Here is a 14,681-nt window from a genome sequence, read left to right on the forward strand (position 1 = left end):
GATACACTTTAACCAGTTCTTCGGAGGATCCCCAGTAGGATGAGCCCCAGCTGTCCACAGCAATAAGTATAATAACACTTCCTTTACTGGTTTTTCTCCTTATCTTACTCTCTTCAGGCATTTCTGCTTCCTAGGATAATCTTTCAAAGAACCTGCACCCAAGACTTTGACTCAAGTTATCCTTTTAGGAAACTCAAAACTAAGACAAGGTGTAACAGTTTCAGCTAAAAACAGGAACTTGGATAAGTGGAGGTTTTAGACTGGACACATATCCCATCCCCTGGGAATGCACTATGCTCCATCCAAATCAATGAAAATATTAATCACAAAAATAAGTAATAAAATAATTCAAATGCCATTTTTCCATTTTTATGTTAGGAAATTATTTACAGGCAAATGGTAAGAAAGAAAGTCTCAAAACAAAATAAAAAATCTACTAGGGATGCTGGTCCTAACAATGGCAAAACTGTATCAACAGATGAGAGAGGTAGATGGCAGAAACAAGTAGTAATGGAAACTTAAAGACATCTTTAACCAGCACTGTAAAATTAAGCTAGTAAAATATAATTTTAACTTACAATGTATTAAGAGTAGTAAGTACAGATGGGTTCACACAGAAGAGCTCTCCTTCCTACACCATTCCTTTGTTACCACCTTCCCAGAAGCAAGTCAGCAGTTTCTCATTTATTCTTGCTCATAGACATGCTTATACAAGCATCATTGTTAATTACTAAAATCTTTCACTGAAGTTCCCATTTTTGCTTTAAGAACTAACACAATATAAGCTCACCCACAGTAACATACTTCTCAGTTCCACTACTAAATAACCGTTTTGAAATATCAAGTATCCTTACACATAAATAAGTTACCTACAATCAGATAAAAAGCAAAATCAACCACATAAAATTGTCTCCAATGATTTGTGAAATTTATTTCCCAAAAGGCAAACATGTCTTACCTAAAGAGAACAGGGTATGGATCATCCCTCTCTGGAGGTCCAGTAATTCGTGCCATCGTTGGGAAAGACTTAACAGGTTGTTGGATCATTGTATGAGGGGCAGTTTCCATTAAATGAAAAACTTCTTCTAGGAGGTTAATAAGCCTTTCTATTTCCCCTTCACTTATATTTGAGGATTCCAAAAGATCCATATCCATAGAAGCTTCCACCTCATTTTCATATTCTGGGTTTGTTCTCTCAAGTCCAGCATCTGTGTCGTGATCAGGTTCACTGTGGTTAGGAAGAGATGAAGTCTTCTCTGCTAAATGGTCACCAAGTCTTTTAATCTCTGACAAGACTTCATAGAAATGGCATTTTTGGAGAATAGCTGAACCAGCAGTAACAACCCTCACAGTCTGATCTAAAAGTATGAGTTCCAGAAGCTTTTGATAACCACTTTTTTCATTCTGCCTACCTCTTAAAAAAGCTTCCATTCCTTCTGTCATACTAATGACACTGTCCAAAGCTTTAAAAGCATTTAACTTAAGAGAAGATGATACGTGATCAGCAAACAGAAGTTCAAATAATCCACTGATCACTCCTGCTTGTAGCAGTCCTGTAACTCCTTGAGCCCCACATTCTGCTAGTGAGGACACTAATTTGGTCCCAGCTTTGAGCTGTCGAACATTTAAGGCGATAGGTTGGCGAAGCGCTACTTGTAAATTTAAAGCTTGCATGGTCCAGTCTACCAACTGGCCAAGGGAGTCTTGTTTTGTGTTTTTCAATTGCAAATAGCTTAACCCTTTTATTATTAAACTTGGAATTTCTTCTAAAGCTGTTACCCATTTTGCACCTCTATCTTCTCTATACAAATCTAAGAGTTCTGTTAACTTCACTGAGGCTTCGATTGCCCCTGAATTTTCTTTATCTGGACCTTGATCCTTCATTCTACTGATTTCAATTTCAAAAGTAGTCTTGTATGGACAACTGAAGTATAAGAGTGGTACAAGCTCCCTGTCATATGGATCATATGTCATAGGAGGAACTGAAGCTAAGTCTTCAGCAGTGTATTCAACATCAAAGTTTGGATACTTAAATGTTTCACGTTCCAAGTCAGCAATTCCATCTTCATCACTGGAAATTTGTTCATAACCATCATCCCCTGAAAATTAGTATGAATAATATTTAAGTATTACATCATCTTTGTCTAATACATAAATTCTGATTGAACAAGAAATAGTTTTAATAAAACATTAAAAATGATTTCCTCAACAAAACCAACTTCTGCCCCAACATCTTACCCACAATTTTACAACATTTTATAATTTCTAATAGAATTATGGACAAACTTCTTTTTTTCCTGAAAGGGGTGAGACCTGAAAACTGGACAAACATTTTAAGCAAATTCCTCTGTATCTGTTCAGTTTTACAACTAACTGTAACAGATATCTTTTCCTCACAGAAATATAATTAGAAATGCCTCAAAGTAACAAAAATATCTATCTCAGGAGGAAAGAAATTATGCTTGTCCTCTTGAGAGATTATTTTTAAGACCAAAAAAAACTGGTTGTTTTAAGTTAAGTAAGAACTAATATCATCAGGTTAAACCAAATACTTTCAGCAAAACCATTGTAGATTCGTTTTATAACAATTTCACATTCCAGAATTTTTATTTCTCTGCATTTACCTATCACACAGTTTTGTAGGTCTCCATTATATTTTGATAGAAAATGTGTCCATTTAAAATATGGCTGTGCACAGTGGCTCATGCCTGTAATCCCAGCACTTTGGGAGGCCAAGCCGGGCAGATCACTTGAGGTCAGGAGTCCGAGACCAGCCTGGCCAACATGGTGAAACCCTGATCTCTACTAAAAATACAAAAATTACCTGAGCGTAGGGGTGCGTGCCTGTAAGCCCAGCTACTCAGATGGCTGAGGGACAAATCACTTGAACCCTGGAGGTGAAGGTTGCAGTGAAACAAGATCGCACCACTGCGCTCCAGTCTGGGTCATGGAATGAGACTTTGTCTCAAAAAAAAAAAAAAAAAAAGAAAGAAAAAAAGAAAACTGCCTGCCTAACATTTAACTACTTTTGCCAAATACAATAAATCTAGAAATAATTATTTGATAATCTGTGAATGGGGAAAGTTAAAAAAAAATCACATGATAATCTAGCTATTTGATATTTTTTAAAAGAGCCCCTATGATTCTGAAATGACATTCATTTTTACTATCTGTAGAAAAAAGCCAAGGCAGATTATCTGTTATTCTGCATAAATGCTTTAACATTAAATGCCATTTCTTGGGCAAATTAAGAGCCAATTAGCTTGAGTATCTCTCACTTTTTGCTTTCAAAGGAAAAATAAAGCCTAATTAAAGGACTGTATCATACTGCCACATGTACTTGTGTAATTGAGATTTTTCCCTTGAATTTTTAAAAATAATGTAGCATTTGCTAAAATATCTAGGTGGCAGACATCTTTAGGAATTCCACCTAGCTTTACCACTCCTTACTCTGAAAACAGCCACCAAATCCCTAACCAACATGTATTTGTTACATGACCCTGTTTTCCTGGCAAAAGCTGATGCTGTCAAAGGGAAACTCATACTGTAGCAAGTCAAACAGAAAACTGAGATACAGTCAGGCAGTTTAGGCTGGCTGGTTAAACAGGGGAGATTAAAGTAAACACACAAAGCAGAGGAGAGATGGAAATCTCATTTCTAGTCATGCCTTGAGGCCTAGCTACATTCTGACCCTGGGTTTCTTGGAACCCATTTATCTTTGCTAGAAATTCTTTTGCATTTTTCAAAGCTGTATCGAGTTAGTTTCTAGTACTTAAACCCCAAAGTCCTAGCTAACATAACCCACCTTCACCTTCTTCATCCTCTTCACCTTCTTCCTCTTCATCTTCCTCTTCCTCCTCAGGAATACTGTCTACTGTTCGTCGATCATCCTCATCCTCATCCTCTTCTTCCTCTACATCCACATCATCTTCATCTTCTTCTCCTTCTTCTTGTTGTTCCTCTTCTACTTCTCCTTCATCAGAATATTGCCCTTCCTGGGGAACAGAATTCCGATCAGGAGAAATGGGCTCAAAGTAATCTTCTCTATGAGGAGCATCCTCTTCCTTGTCACCAGACACTGAAAAATTGAGATTTAAGGCACAGACTATTTTAATGGTTTAAATGACAAAAGGCAGCAAGACTGGATATGGCAACTACTTAATATTTTGGTTGATATAGTTTATAAATACCCTTAAAAAAAAAGAATTACTCACTGTTTAAAAAATATTGAGTATACACTGTACAACTTCTACAGTGAGCAATAATAAAGTATACTGTTAAGCCATTCCCTTTCTTTTTAGCTTTTAAGTAACTATACACGTTTTTGTCTTTTCCAGTACATACTTATTTTTATTTTATTTTATTTATTATTTTTATTTATTTTCTTTTTTTGAGACAAGAGTCTCACTCTGTCGGCCAGGCTGGAGTGCAGTGGCATGATCTCGGCTCACTGCAACCTCCGCCTCCCAGGCTCAAGCAATTCTCCTCCCTCAGTCTCCTGAGTAGCTGGGATTACAGGCGTGTAACACCACACCCGGCTAATTTTTGTATTTTTAGTAGAGATGGGGTTTCACTATGTTGGCCAGGCTGGTCTCGAACTCCTGACCTCAGGTAATCCACCCACCTTGGCCTCCCAAAGTGCTGGGATTACAGGCGTGAGCCACCACGCCCGGCCTATTTTTATTTTATTTTATTTTTATTTTTAATAGAGACAGGGTCTCCCTATGTTGCCCAGGCTGGTCTCACACTCCTGGGCTCAAGAGGTCCTCCTGCCTCAGCCTTCCAAAGTGCTAGGATTACAGGCATGAGCCACCACACCCAGCCCAATACTAGTGATTTTTAACTGGTACTCTTTTGTACATATCACTACAGCAAACTAACACTTTATTTTGGCACAGCTTCAAATGAATTAACAAATTTTTTTTTAACAAGTTAACTGGCTGACAGAAAGAAAAATACAATTAGTGGCCAGGCACTGTGGGTCACACCTGTAAATCCCAAAACTGTGGGGGGCCAAGGCGGGAGGATCACTTGAGTTTAAGACCAGCCTGAGCAACATAGGAAACTTCTTCTCTATAAAAAATTAGCCAGGCGTGGTGGTATACACCTGTGGTCCTAGCCACTGGGGAGGATGAGGTGGGAGGATTTCTTGAACCCGGGAATTCAAGGCTGCACTGAGCTGAGATGGTGCCACTGCACTCTAGCCTGGGTCACAGAGCAAAAACCTGTCTCAAAAAAAAAAAAAAGAAAAAAGAAAGAAAGAAAAAAGAAAAAGAAAAACACAAGGAAATACTGCACAGCATGGGGGGAGACTGCATCAAGATTTGATTACTGGCACCTGATTTCTTTTCTTAATCAAAAAGCACTATTAGCCAGGCACGGTGGCTTATGCCTATAATCCTAACACTTTGTGAAGCTAAGGCAGATGGATCACTTTAGCTCAGGAGTTCCAGCCTGGGCAAAATAGTGAGACCCCATCTCTACAGATATTTTAAAAATTAGCAAGGCATGGTGATGCACACCTGTAGTCCCAGCTACTTAGGAGGCTGAGGTGAGAGGATCACTTAAGCCCAGGTGGTCAAGACTGCAGTGAGCCACTGTACTCCACCCTGGGCAACAGAGTGAGACCATCTCAAAACAAAAACAAAAATGTACTATTAACTAGGGGGGAAAACCTTAGCACTGGTTTTATTTATACCTGGCAGAGGCACAGGATCATCTTCATCATCATCAGGTGGAGGGGGTCCTGGAGGAGTTCTTGGTCCCCTTGGCTGTGGTCTTGGAGGGCTTCCATTAAACTGATCTTCTTTCTCCCCATCAGCTAGTGTTTTATGGGAGACAGAAAAAGAACTTTCAAATTACAGATGACCCCCGAACAACATGGCTTTGAACTGTGTGGGTCCACTTACATGTGATTTTTTTAAAGCAAAGAGAGATCTAAAATATGGTATTTGAGGGATGCAAAATCTGCATATATATAATGGGCTGACTGTCTGTATATGCAGGTTCCTCGGGGCCAACGTCAGGACTTGAGTATGCACAGATTTGTGTATACACAGGCAGTCCTAGAACAAATCAATCCCCAAGTAGAACAAAGATAATCATGTTAAAGTATAAGGAAATGAATGGAAAAAATACTTTTCATCACTGGGGAGATTTTCATCTTCAGAATTAACTAATAAACTTTTCCTTCCTGGTGTCTCAGAAATTTTGCTAATTAATCTATATTAATAACATCGGAATTTCTGACTTCCCACATACTGAAAAAATACTTGTCATCATTTCAGACTTTCATCTTCAGAATTAACTGATTATAAACTTTTCCTTCCTGGCATCTTAACAGAAATTTTGCTAATTAATCTATATTGGTAACATTAGAATTTCTGACTTCTCACATACCAAAACATAATGTATACACTCTTAGGCTTGGGCATAATCCCAGAGAATGAAGATTTTGTTTTCATGCCAAAAAAATAAGGGAATGTTCAGCTTTATTTGTGATAGCCAAAAAACAGAGACTACCCAAATGTCCTTCAACAGGTGAGCAGTTAAATTTTGGTACATCTATATTTTGTAACACCACTCAGCAATAAAAAACAACAAACTATTTATATATAATATGTTGAAGTTCAAGGAAATTATGCTGAATGAAAAAAGTCAATCTCACAAAGATACTGCATGATTCCATTGATGTAACGTGTAAAATAATATAACTATAGAAATGGTGAACAGATTAGTGGCTGCCAAAGGCTAGAGATGGGTGGGATGAATAGGGCTATAAAGGGGTAATAGGGAATCTTGGGGCAATGGTGTAGTTAAGTATTTTGGGGTTTTGTTTCTTTTTATGTTTTGTTTTGTTTGAGACGGAGTCTTGCTCTTTCGCCCAGGCTGGATTGCAGTGGCACAGTCTTGGCTTACTGCAGCCTCCACCACCAGGGTTCAAGTGATTCTCCTGCCTTAGCCTCCCAAGTAGCTGGGACTACAGGCATGCACCACCATGCCCAGCAAATTTTTGTATTTTTAGTAGACATGAGGTTTCACCATGTTGGCCAGGCTGGTCTCAAACTCCTGACCTCAAGTGATCTGCCCGCCTCGGCCTCCCAAAGTGCTGGGATTACAGGCGTGAGCCACGGCATCCAGCCCAGATAAGTATTTTGATCATGGTGTTGGTTATGCAAGGCTGTACACATGACATAAAAACGCACAGAGTTACACATACACAAACAAGTGCGTGTCTATCTAGTGAAATCTGAATAAGCTCCATAGATTACACCAACACCAATTTTCTGGTTTTGATATTGTACTATATTTATAAAAGATGTTATCACTGGGGGAGGCTAAAGAGTGCACAGGACTTCCCTGTACATTTCTTTGCAACCTCCTGTCAATCTATAATTATCTCAAAGTAAAAAGTTAAGGGGCCAGGTGTGGTGGCTCACACCTGTCAACCCAGTATTTGAAGGGCTGAGACAAGAGGATCACTTGAGGTTAGGAGTTTGAGACTAGTTTGGGCAACATAGTGAGACCCCATCTCTACAAAAAAATGAGTTGGGGTGGAGGGTGGCACACGTCTATAGTCCTAGCTACTCCACAGACTGAGGTGGAAGGACTGCTTGAGTCCAGGATTACGACGTTACAGTGAGCTATGATCAGGCCACTGCACTCCAGCCTGGGTGACGTAACAAAATCCTGTCTCTAAAAACAAAAAAATTAAATTAAAAAAATTTTTTAAATAAAAAGTTAAAAACACATGTATATATATGTGCTTGTCAATTTTAAAACAAATCAGTAAATTGAACAAATTTTTAGAGTAACCACTACATATGTCAGACACTATGATAAGACTGAAAACACAAATATATGTAAAACATACTTTCTATCCACAAGGAGCTCACGGTTTGGTTAAAAAAAAAAAAGCACAGAAAAATGAAGGACTGAAAGAAAAAGAAAACTGAAAGAGTAACTATGCTTAGCAGGTAAGATATAAGAAAAGTACAGTGTATGACCACCATCAGAAAAAAAAGAGCTCACACCACATTACTATATCAGGATTCAGAGAAACAAAGGTTATTTATAGTCACAAACATGCTAATTATAAAGCAAAATATTATTCCTTAGTGACTTTAATTACAATTTCAAAATGTATTCTTGAAACTCCTTTTATTTATTTATTTTGTGTGTGGGTTTCTGTTTTTGAGACAGGGTTTTGCTCTGTTGCCTAGGCTGGAGTGCAGTGGCATGATCATGACTCATTGCAGCCTCAACTTCCCAGGCTCAAGAGATCCTCCCACCTCAGCCTCCAGAGTAGCTGGACCACAGGCACATGCCATCGTGCCCAGCTAATTCTTTCTTTTTTTTTTTTTTTTTTTGGGAGGGGCAGGTTCTCCCTATGTTGCCCAGGCTGGTCTCACACTCCTGGGTTCAAGCAAGCCTCCCAAAGTGTAAGGATTACAGGCATAAGCCACCATGCCCAGCCTATTTATTTATTTTTACAGATGGGAGTCTCACTATGTTGCCCAGAATGGACTCGAACTCCTGGGCTCAATCGATCCTTTTGCCTCAGCCTCTTGAGTAGCTGGGAACACAGATGCATATCACTGCAGCTGGCTATGAATCTCATTGTGTCAACTTCTTTTTTTTTAAATAGACATAGGGTCTCGCCATGTTGGCCAGGCTGGTCTTGAATTCCTGACCCCAAGCAATCCTCCCACTTCGGCCTCCCAAAGTGCTAGGATTACAGCCATGAGCCACTGCTCTCAGCCTTGTGGTCAACTTCTTACAGTGATTAACACTGGAGTGAGGAGAAGAGATTCTGAGAAACATGAGTCCAGCTGCCTATCTTCTGAAAGAAAGCCACTGAAGTTCTTATTTTTCTTGTTTCCAGTTAATGAGCAAAAGGTTCTCAAAAGTGGAAGAAATCTACATTAGTTAAGATGTAGATACCTAATAAATTTTAAATGCACTCTTGAAAAAAAAATGTCATTTATATAAGTATTCCGGGAATATGTAACAAACTCCCTGCCTATTTTTCAATTCATTTACAAATAATTTTAATAGTAAACCATGAATAGTCACTAGATTGCATTATCATTAAGATATTTTAAATGGGAAAAAATTCCCTCAGATCAGTTTTAAAAGTTCTCTAGGAAAACAGAGGAAGAAAATAAAATGTCACCACTTCAACATAAAAAGAAACTCTTAGACAAGAATGGGAGACTAACAGATAGCTATCTTGTCAAGTCTTAAGCAAGGTTCAAAAGGTGAACGAGGTGTGCTTGCTCACTCTCTCCCACCCCAATCCCTCACTTTCCCTCCTTTCTCTCCCTCCCCTTCTCCCTCTTGCCTCCTCTTCTTTCTTTCTCTTCCTCCTATCTCCCCCTCTTCCTCCTTCTCTCCCCCTCTGCCCCTCTGCTTCTCCCTCTCATCTCCTCCCTCCCTCTCTCCCCCTCTCTTCCTCTCTCCCTCTCAAGAAATAAAACAAAAACAAAAGGTAAAAGAGTGCTCTTCGAATTATTTTTTTTTTTTAAACCACGGATATAAGTTTCACTTGCAAAAGCAAATTTAAAATTCTCACCATGTTTTGGATTCCTTTTCAAACTTGGTTGTGGCTGGGGAGGTGGTGGCGGTGGAGGTGGTGGTGGTGGAGAGTCTCTGTCATGACTTATCACTCTATCCACTGATCCATATATTGCCAGTGTCAGACAGTTATACCAGCCTCTTAGCACCAGACCATCAGTATTCACCTGATTTTCAGGGAGGGCAAAAAAAATCTTTCAAAGTCATGTTTTAAAATGCTAGAAGTTAGCTGATACCAAATTAGATTGTGGTTCAACTAAAGTCTTTAAAAGTATGCTGAAAATGCAAAGTCAACACAAAGTGAAATTTACCTAGGCACAGCTTTTAGTGTGGTTCTCCAGAGCTACCATAACTACACCTGCACCTGTCCTAAGATTACATCTCCCAGTCCTATGCTTTATGTCAACCTTGTTCAAAAAGTATAACCAGACTCCCATCCAAGAGAAAAGAAATGAGAATAAAATTAAGTAGGAGTTATTGCTAATTAATAAATTAAACCCCAATAGGTACAGGGGTCGTAGAAGGGACCAAAAGCACAAATGATGCTCAGTCTCAAGAATGATAAAGTCCATAAAACTACATAGCATTCTTCTCAGAAGCCAAATTCATACATGCAGGTATATTTTACGTACCCACATTGTACATTAAAAAGTAAGGGAATTAGCCGGGTGCAGTGGCTCACGCCTGTAATTTCAGCACTTTGGAAGGCTAAGGTGGGTGGATCACAAGGTCAGGAGTTGAAGACCAGCCTGGCCAAGATGGTGAAACCTCGTCTCTACTAAAATTACAAAAATTAGCCAGGGTGGTGGCGGCACCCATAATCCCAGATACTCAGGAGACTGAGGGAGAGAATTGCTTGAACCCAGGAGGCGGAGGCTGCAGTGAGCCAAGATTGCGCCACTGCACACTCTAGCCTGGGCGACAGAGCGAGACTTGGTCTCAAAAAAAAAAAAAAAGTAAAGGAACCCAGAGGCATTAAATAAATTGTTTTTGCAAAGAAACTTTCTCCTAAAAAGATTAAAGGCTTTTGCCAATGCCATTAACCCTCAATATTTCCCTATAAGAAAAAATAACTTCATGCTTTCTAGAGCTTATCTACATTAATAGCTACATCTTCACAATTATGAGAGCAGATATTGTCATTCCCTTTTAAGAAATAAGAAAACCAGAGCATGTGAAGAAGAGCCTGCATTAGAAACCAAAGGCCCTGACTTCTGAGTTCTCTTTCCACCCCACCATATTGGGTAAAGACAAAGTTCTAAGTGTTACCGGGGCCCCTTCTGGAGGCACGATAAGGAAAAAAGAAATTAATATTTCTTTGTTAGACTACACAGGGAAACTGGGGACCAGAAGAAGGGTTCAAAGACTGGCCAAGGATTGATAGACTGAACAGAAATCCCACTGGAAGGAAGATAAACAGATAACAATGATAATTTTTAGTCTAAACAGGATGCAAAGGATTTAATACCCATCCCCCCCAAAACCAAACAGCAAGCTGAGTAGTCCCATACCAGGTCATAATTATTTTTGCATTTCAAATCTGCCACTAAATGCTTCCAGCATGGCATCTGGCATATCAAGAAAAAAGGCATATTTTTGATAAGAAAGGAGAAATATGAAATATGTACTTTTAAAAGAAACTTTAAGGCACAGTAGTGTCTAATAACAATTTGCCTGCCTGTCGTCTTCTGAACTTGCCTATCTAAATGAAAGATGGTAAAGCACAAATGCTGGCCTCTTCTTGACTCGAAAGAGGAAGAAAGAGCTTTATAGGTAGAGAACGGCATTACAATGTCTTTACTGCATTATAAAATAGTGTCTAGGTGCTAGAAGAATCAGATAAGATATGACACTCTGAGCTGGGCGCGGTGGCTCACGCCTGTAATCCTAGCACTTTGGGAGGCCGAGGCGGTTGGATCACGAGGTCAGGAGATCAAGACCATCCTGGCTAATACGGTGAAACCCCGTCCCTACTAAAAATACAAAAAATTAGCCGGGCATGGTGGCAGACACCTCTAGTCCCAGCTACTCGGGAGGCTGAGGCAGGAGAATGGCGTGAACCTGGGAGGCAGAGCTTGCAGCGAGCCAAGATTGCGCCACTGCACTCCAGCCTGGGTGACAGAGCGAGACTCCGTCTCAAAAAACACAAAGAAAAAAAAAAAGATATGACACTCTGCAACACTGATTTATGTGGATCAAAAACTTTAAATGGAGTTGAGAGCAAATAGTAATGACAAGCTGAAAACTGACTTCCAGAATTACCTTTGAGTTAGGTCTAAAGATGATGGAAGTATTCTCATCATATTCCAGGCTGTCAAGAGAGTAGAAATAAATATGTAAGCTCAAACACTGAACATCACAGTTCATGAAGACGTCTCTCTAGATTCAAATATTTTAATATAATCAAATGCTAGATTTTTGTTTTGATTCAATAAACCACAAAGTTTGAGTTTAATGTATTGTCCCCAAAATGTGATTAAAAAAAATCAATCCCAGATTCTGGATTAATTGCTTTGGGGTGAGTATGGACATCAATAAATTTTTAAAAGCACACCAGGTAATTCTAATGTACAGCCAGAGTAGAGAACCACTGCATTACAGTCATACAAAAATGTAGACTACAACCAAAATTTAAGAAAAGCACCTGTTTTTATTAAGTAGGTACTGACATAAAAACACCCCCAAATACTAAAAATTACCTGCTTCAAATTATCTAAGGTTGCCCTTCATTTAAAAAAAAAGTTAAATTATTGACATAATTTAATAATAAATAAGAGAGGGGTCAATAACAGAATAAGTGATGTCTAAGAAACTGTTAATTCCTGACAGAAACAGACATTTTCTCATTTTTAAGCTGCCTTTAGTTTTTTTTATTTTATGAGTTCTAAGTAAACCCATTGAATGGTCATTTGTTTGCAGACATCACAACAACAGGTTTAATAATACCTAACCTGAAAAAAACTACCTAGCATGTACTAAATAATCAAAAAAGGGGGTATCTACTAACAAAAGTTTCATTTTACAAAATGTGGCTATGGAATTATAAATTGCACAGTAGTGTGATATGAAAGACACACATAAAATATTAGCTCTCAATGTGTCTATATAATTTAAGAATCAAAGATATTTTCCAAATTAGAAGGTTACTATCATGTGTGAAAGTATCATGTATATAAGAAACACATGCACGAGTCACAAGTTAACAAACAATGGCTATTTCACACATTTAAATTTTTATTTTATAAATTTAGCATCTCCTTAGGAGTTTGACATTTCTTTAATACCACCATGACACAATTAAACCCTGTGTTCTTGGGTCTACCAGCAGATACATCCTTTTCTTCTATCTAAAGAATCAATCAAAAGGTGTTGCTTACTAACTCATGAGTTTCTGGTGAAATTACCTAGCAGGTACATACCTTCCCAACCTATCGAAAACAGGGGCACTTGGTTTGCTTACATTGTTGAAGAATAAGTCTAATTGAAATGTATGGGGAGATGTCTCTCTGTAAATGAAACAAAGTTGAAACATCAGCCTTTGTAACAAACACTTCCTAAATTAAAACAAATAACATAGTAAGTACAAAGTTAAGAGCAATTCTAGAATTAGAATATGATGTTCCTAAGATTTAAATAACAAAAATATAGTTAACTATGATATTGTATGTAATTTTATTCACATCCAATCTCAAGTAGCCAACAGCTGATTTTAAGTATTACTGAATATCAAATTTTAATCAAGTACTTTTTGCATGCTATCACTATTCATTTTTTTTTGAGACGGTGTTACAGAGTTTCGCTCTTGTTACCCAAGCTGGAGTGCAATGGCAGGCATGATCTCGGCTCACTGCAACCTCTACTCTTGGGTTCAAGTGACTCTCCTGCCTCAGCTTCCTGAGCAGCTGGGATTACAGGCACGCACCACCATGCCCAGCTGATTTTTTTGTATTTTTAGTAGAAATGGGGTTTCGCTATGTTAGCCAGGCTGGTCTCAAACTCCTGACCTCAGGAGATTCACCCGTCTCAGCCTCCCAAAGTGCTGGGTGTGAACCACTGCGCCTGGCCTCCCCTTCTTTTTAGAGACAGAGTCTTGCTTTCTTGCCCAGGCTGGGGTGCAGTGGCGTGACTACAGCTCACTGTAGCCTCGAGCTCCCAGACTCAAACAATCCTCCTGCTACAGCCTCCCAAGTAGCTGGGACTACAGGTGTATGCCACTACACTGGGCTAATTTTTTTTTTTTTTTTTAAGTAGAGACAAGTTATCACTATGTTGCCCAGGCTGGTCTCGAGCTCCTGTGCTCAAGTGATCCTCCCATGTCAGCCTCCCAAAGTGCTGGGACTCAGGCATGCCTGTTTCCTTTCGTTACCAAAAGAATCAGGGATTAGCTAACTTCAAGTTGTGTAATTACAATTTCAACTTAATCCACATTAATACAAGACTATAATAGTAACTTTAGCATCACAGCCCTAAGTTGTGACTTAAAGCCAATTGATATTTGTACAGCAGCAATTTACAAAAATATTTTGGGGTTTCTAAAAATAGATTATTTGGTTAATATCAGAGCCTATTTAATTTGCATTAGACTAAAATCTTACTACACTTTATGTAAAAGATACTATACCATAGCACCCTTGGTTGAAATTCCTTAAATTCAACTAAAATCTTGACTTTGAAAACCACATACTTTATTCTTGTTCATTTATATAAAAATCCAAATGTTAATAACTATAATGTCTAGAGTACTATCAAAGAGATTCCTGTATGCACTTCTGGTAGAAGCACAAACAGGCATCATCATTCTGAAAAGCAATGTGGCAATAAAATTCAGGAGACTAAGAAAATGTTCACATCAAGCCACCGTTTGAACGTACCCCACAAAGTCCATGTCCTGGAAATTTAATCCCCAATGCAACAGTGTTGGGAGGCAAGCCTAATAAGACATGACTGGATCATGAGGACTCTGCCCTCATGAATGAATGAATGTTGTTATCTGGGGAGTGGATTAGTTACTGTGACAGTAGGCTTGTTAACAAAGCAAGTTCAGCTCCCTTTTGCTCTCTTGGGCTCTCTGGCTCTTGCTTTCCACCATGAGATGAAGCTGCAAG

General features: G+C 38.8%; 1 protein-coding gene across 4 annotated transcripts in view, besides 1 other annotated feature; it reads right to left on the reverse strand.

Moving 5' to 3' along the window:
* Positions 1 to 14,681, reverse strand: part of VIRMA (vir like m6A methyltransferase associated) — a 65,781-nt gene that overhangs the window by 37,576 nt on the left and 13,524 nt on the right. For 3 of the 4 annotated variants that reach the window (NM_015496.5, XM_047421677.1, NM_183009.3), the window contains 6 exons: positions 12,996 to 13,082; positions 11,839 to 11,887; positions 9,575 to 9,743; positions 5,699 to 5,821; positions 3,806 to 4,078; positions 959 to 2,099 (listed from right to left, as the gene is read on the reverse strand). In NM_015496.5, coding sequence (NP_056311.2) covers positions 959 to 2,099; positions 3,806 to 4,078; positions 5,699 to 5,821; positions 9,575 to 9,743; positions 11,839 to 11,887; positions 12,996 to 13,082 — 1,842 coding nt within the window. Of the gene's footprint in view, positions 1 to 958; positions 2,100 to 3,805; positions 4,079 to 5,698; positions 5,822 to 9,574; positions 9,744 to 11,838; positions 11,888 to 12,995; positions 13,083 to 14,681 lie in introns of those variants that run through there. The other variant, XM_047421678.1, reaches the window with a different exon arrangement.
* Positions 9,371 to 9,870: an enhancer, noted in NCBI's record as "H3K27ac hESC enhancer chr8:95546863-95547362 (GRCh37/hg19 assembly coordinates)". NCBI's record gives its function as "activates a minimal SCP1, AML or CMV promoter by ChIP-STARR-seq in primed H9 embryonic stem cells {active_cell/tissue: H9 hESC(primed)}" and the evidence as "EXISTENCE:reporter gene assay evidence [ECO:0000049][PMID:30033119]".

This window comes from Homo sapiens, chromosome 8 (assembly GCF_000001405.40).
Source record: "Homo sapiens chromosome 8, GRCh38.p14 Primary Assembly".
In the NCBI taxonomy this organism is placed as follows: Eukaryota; Metazoa; Chordata; class Mammalia; order Primates; family Hominidae; genus Homo; species Homo sapiens.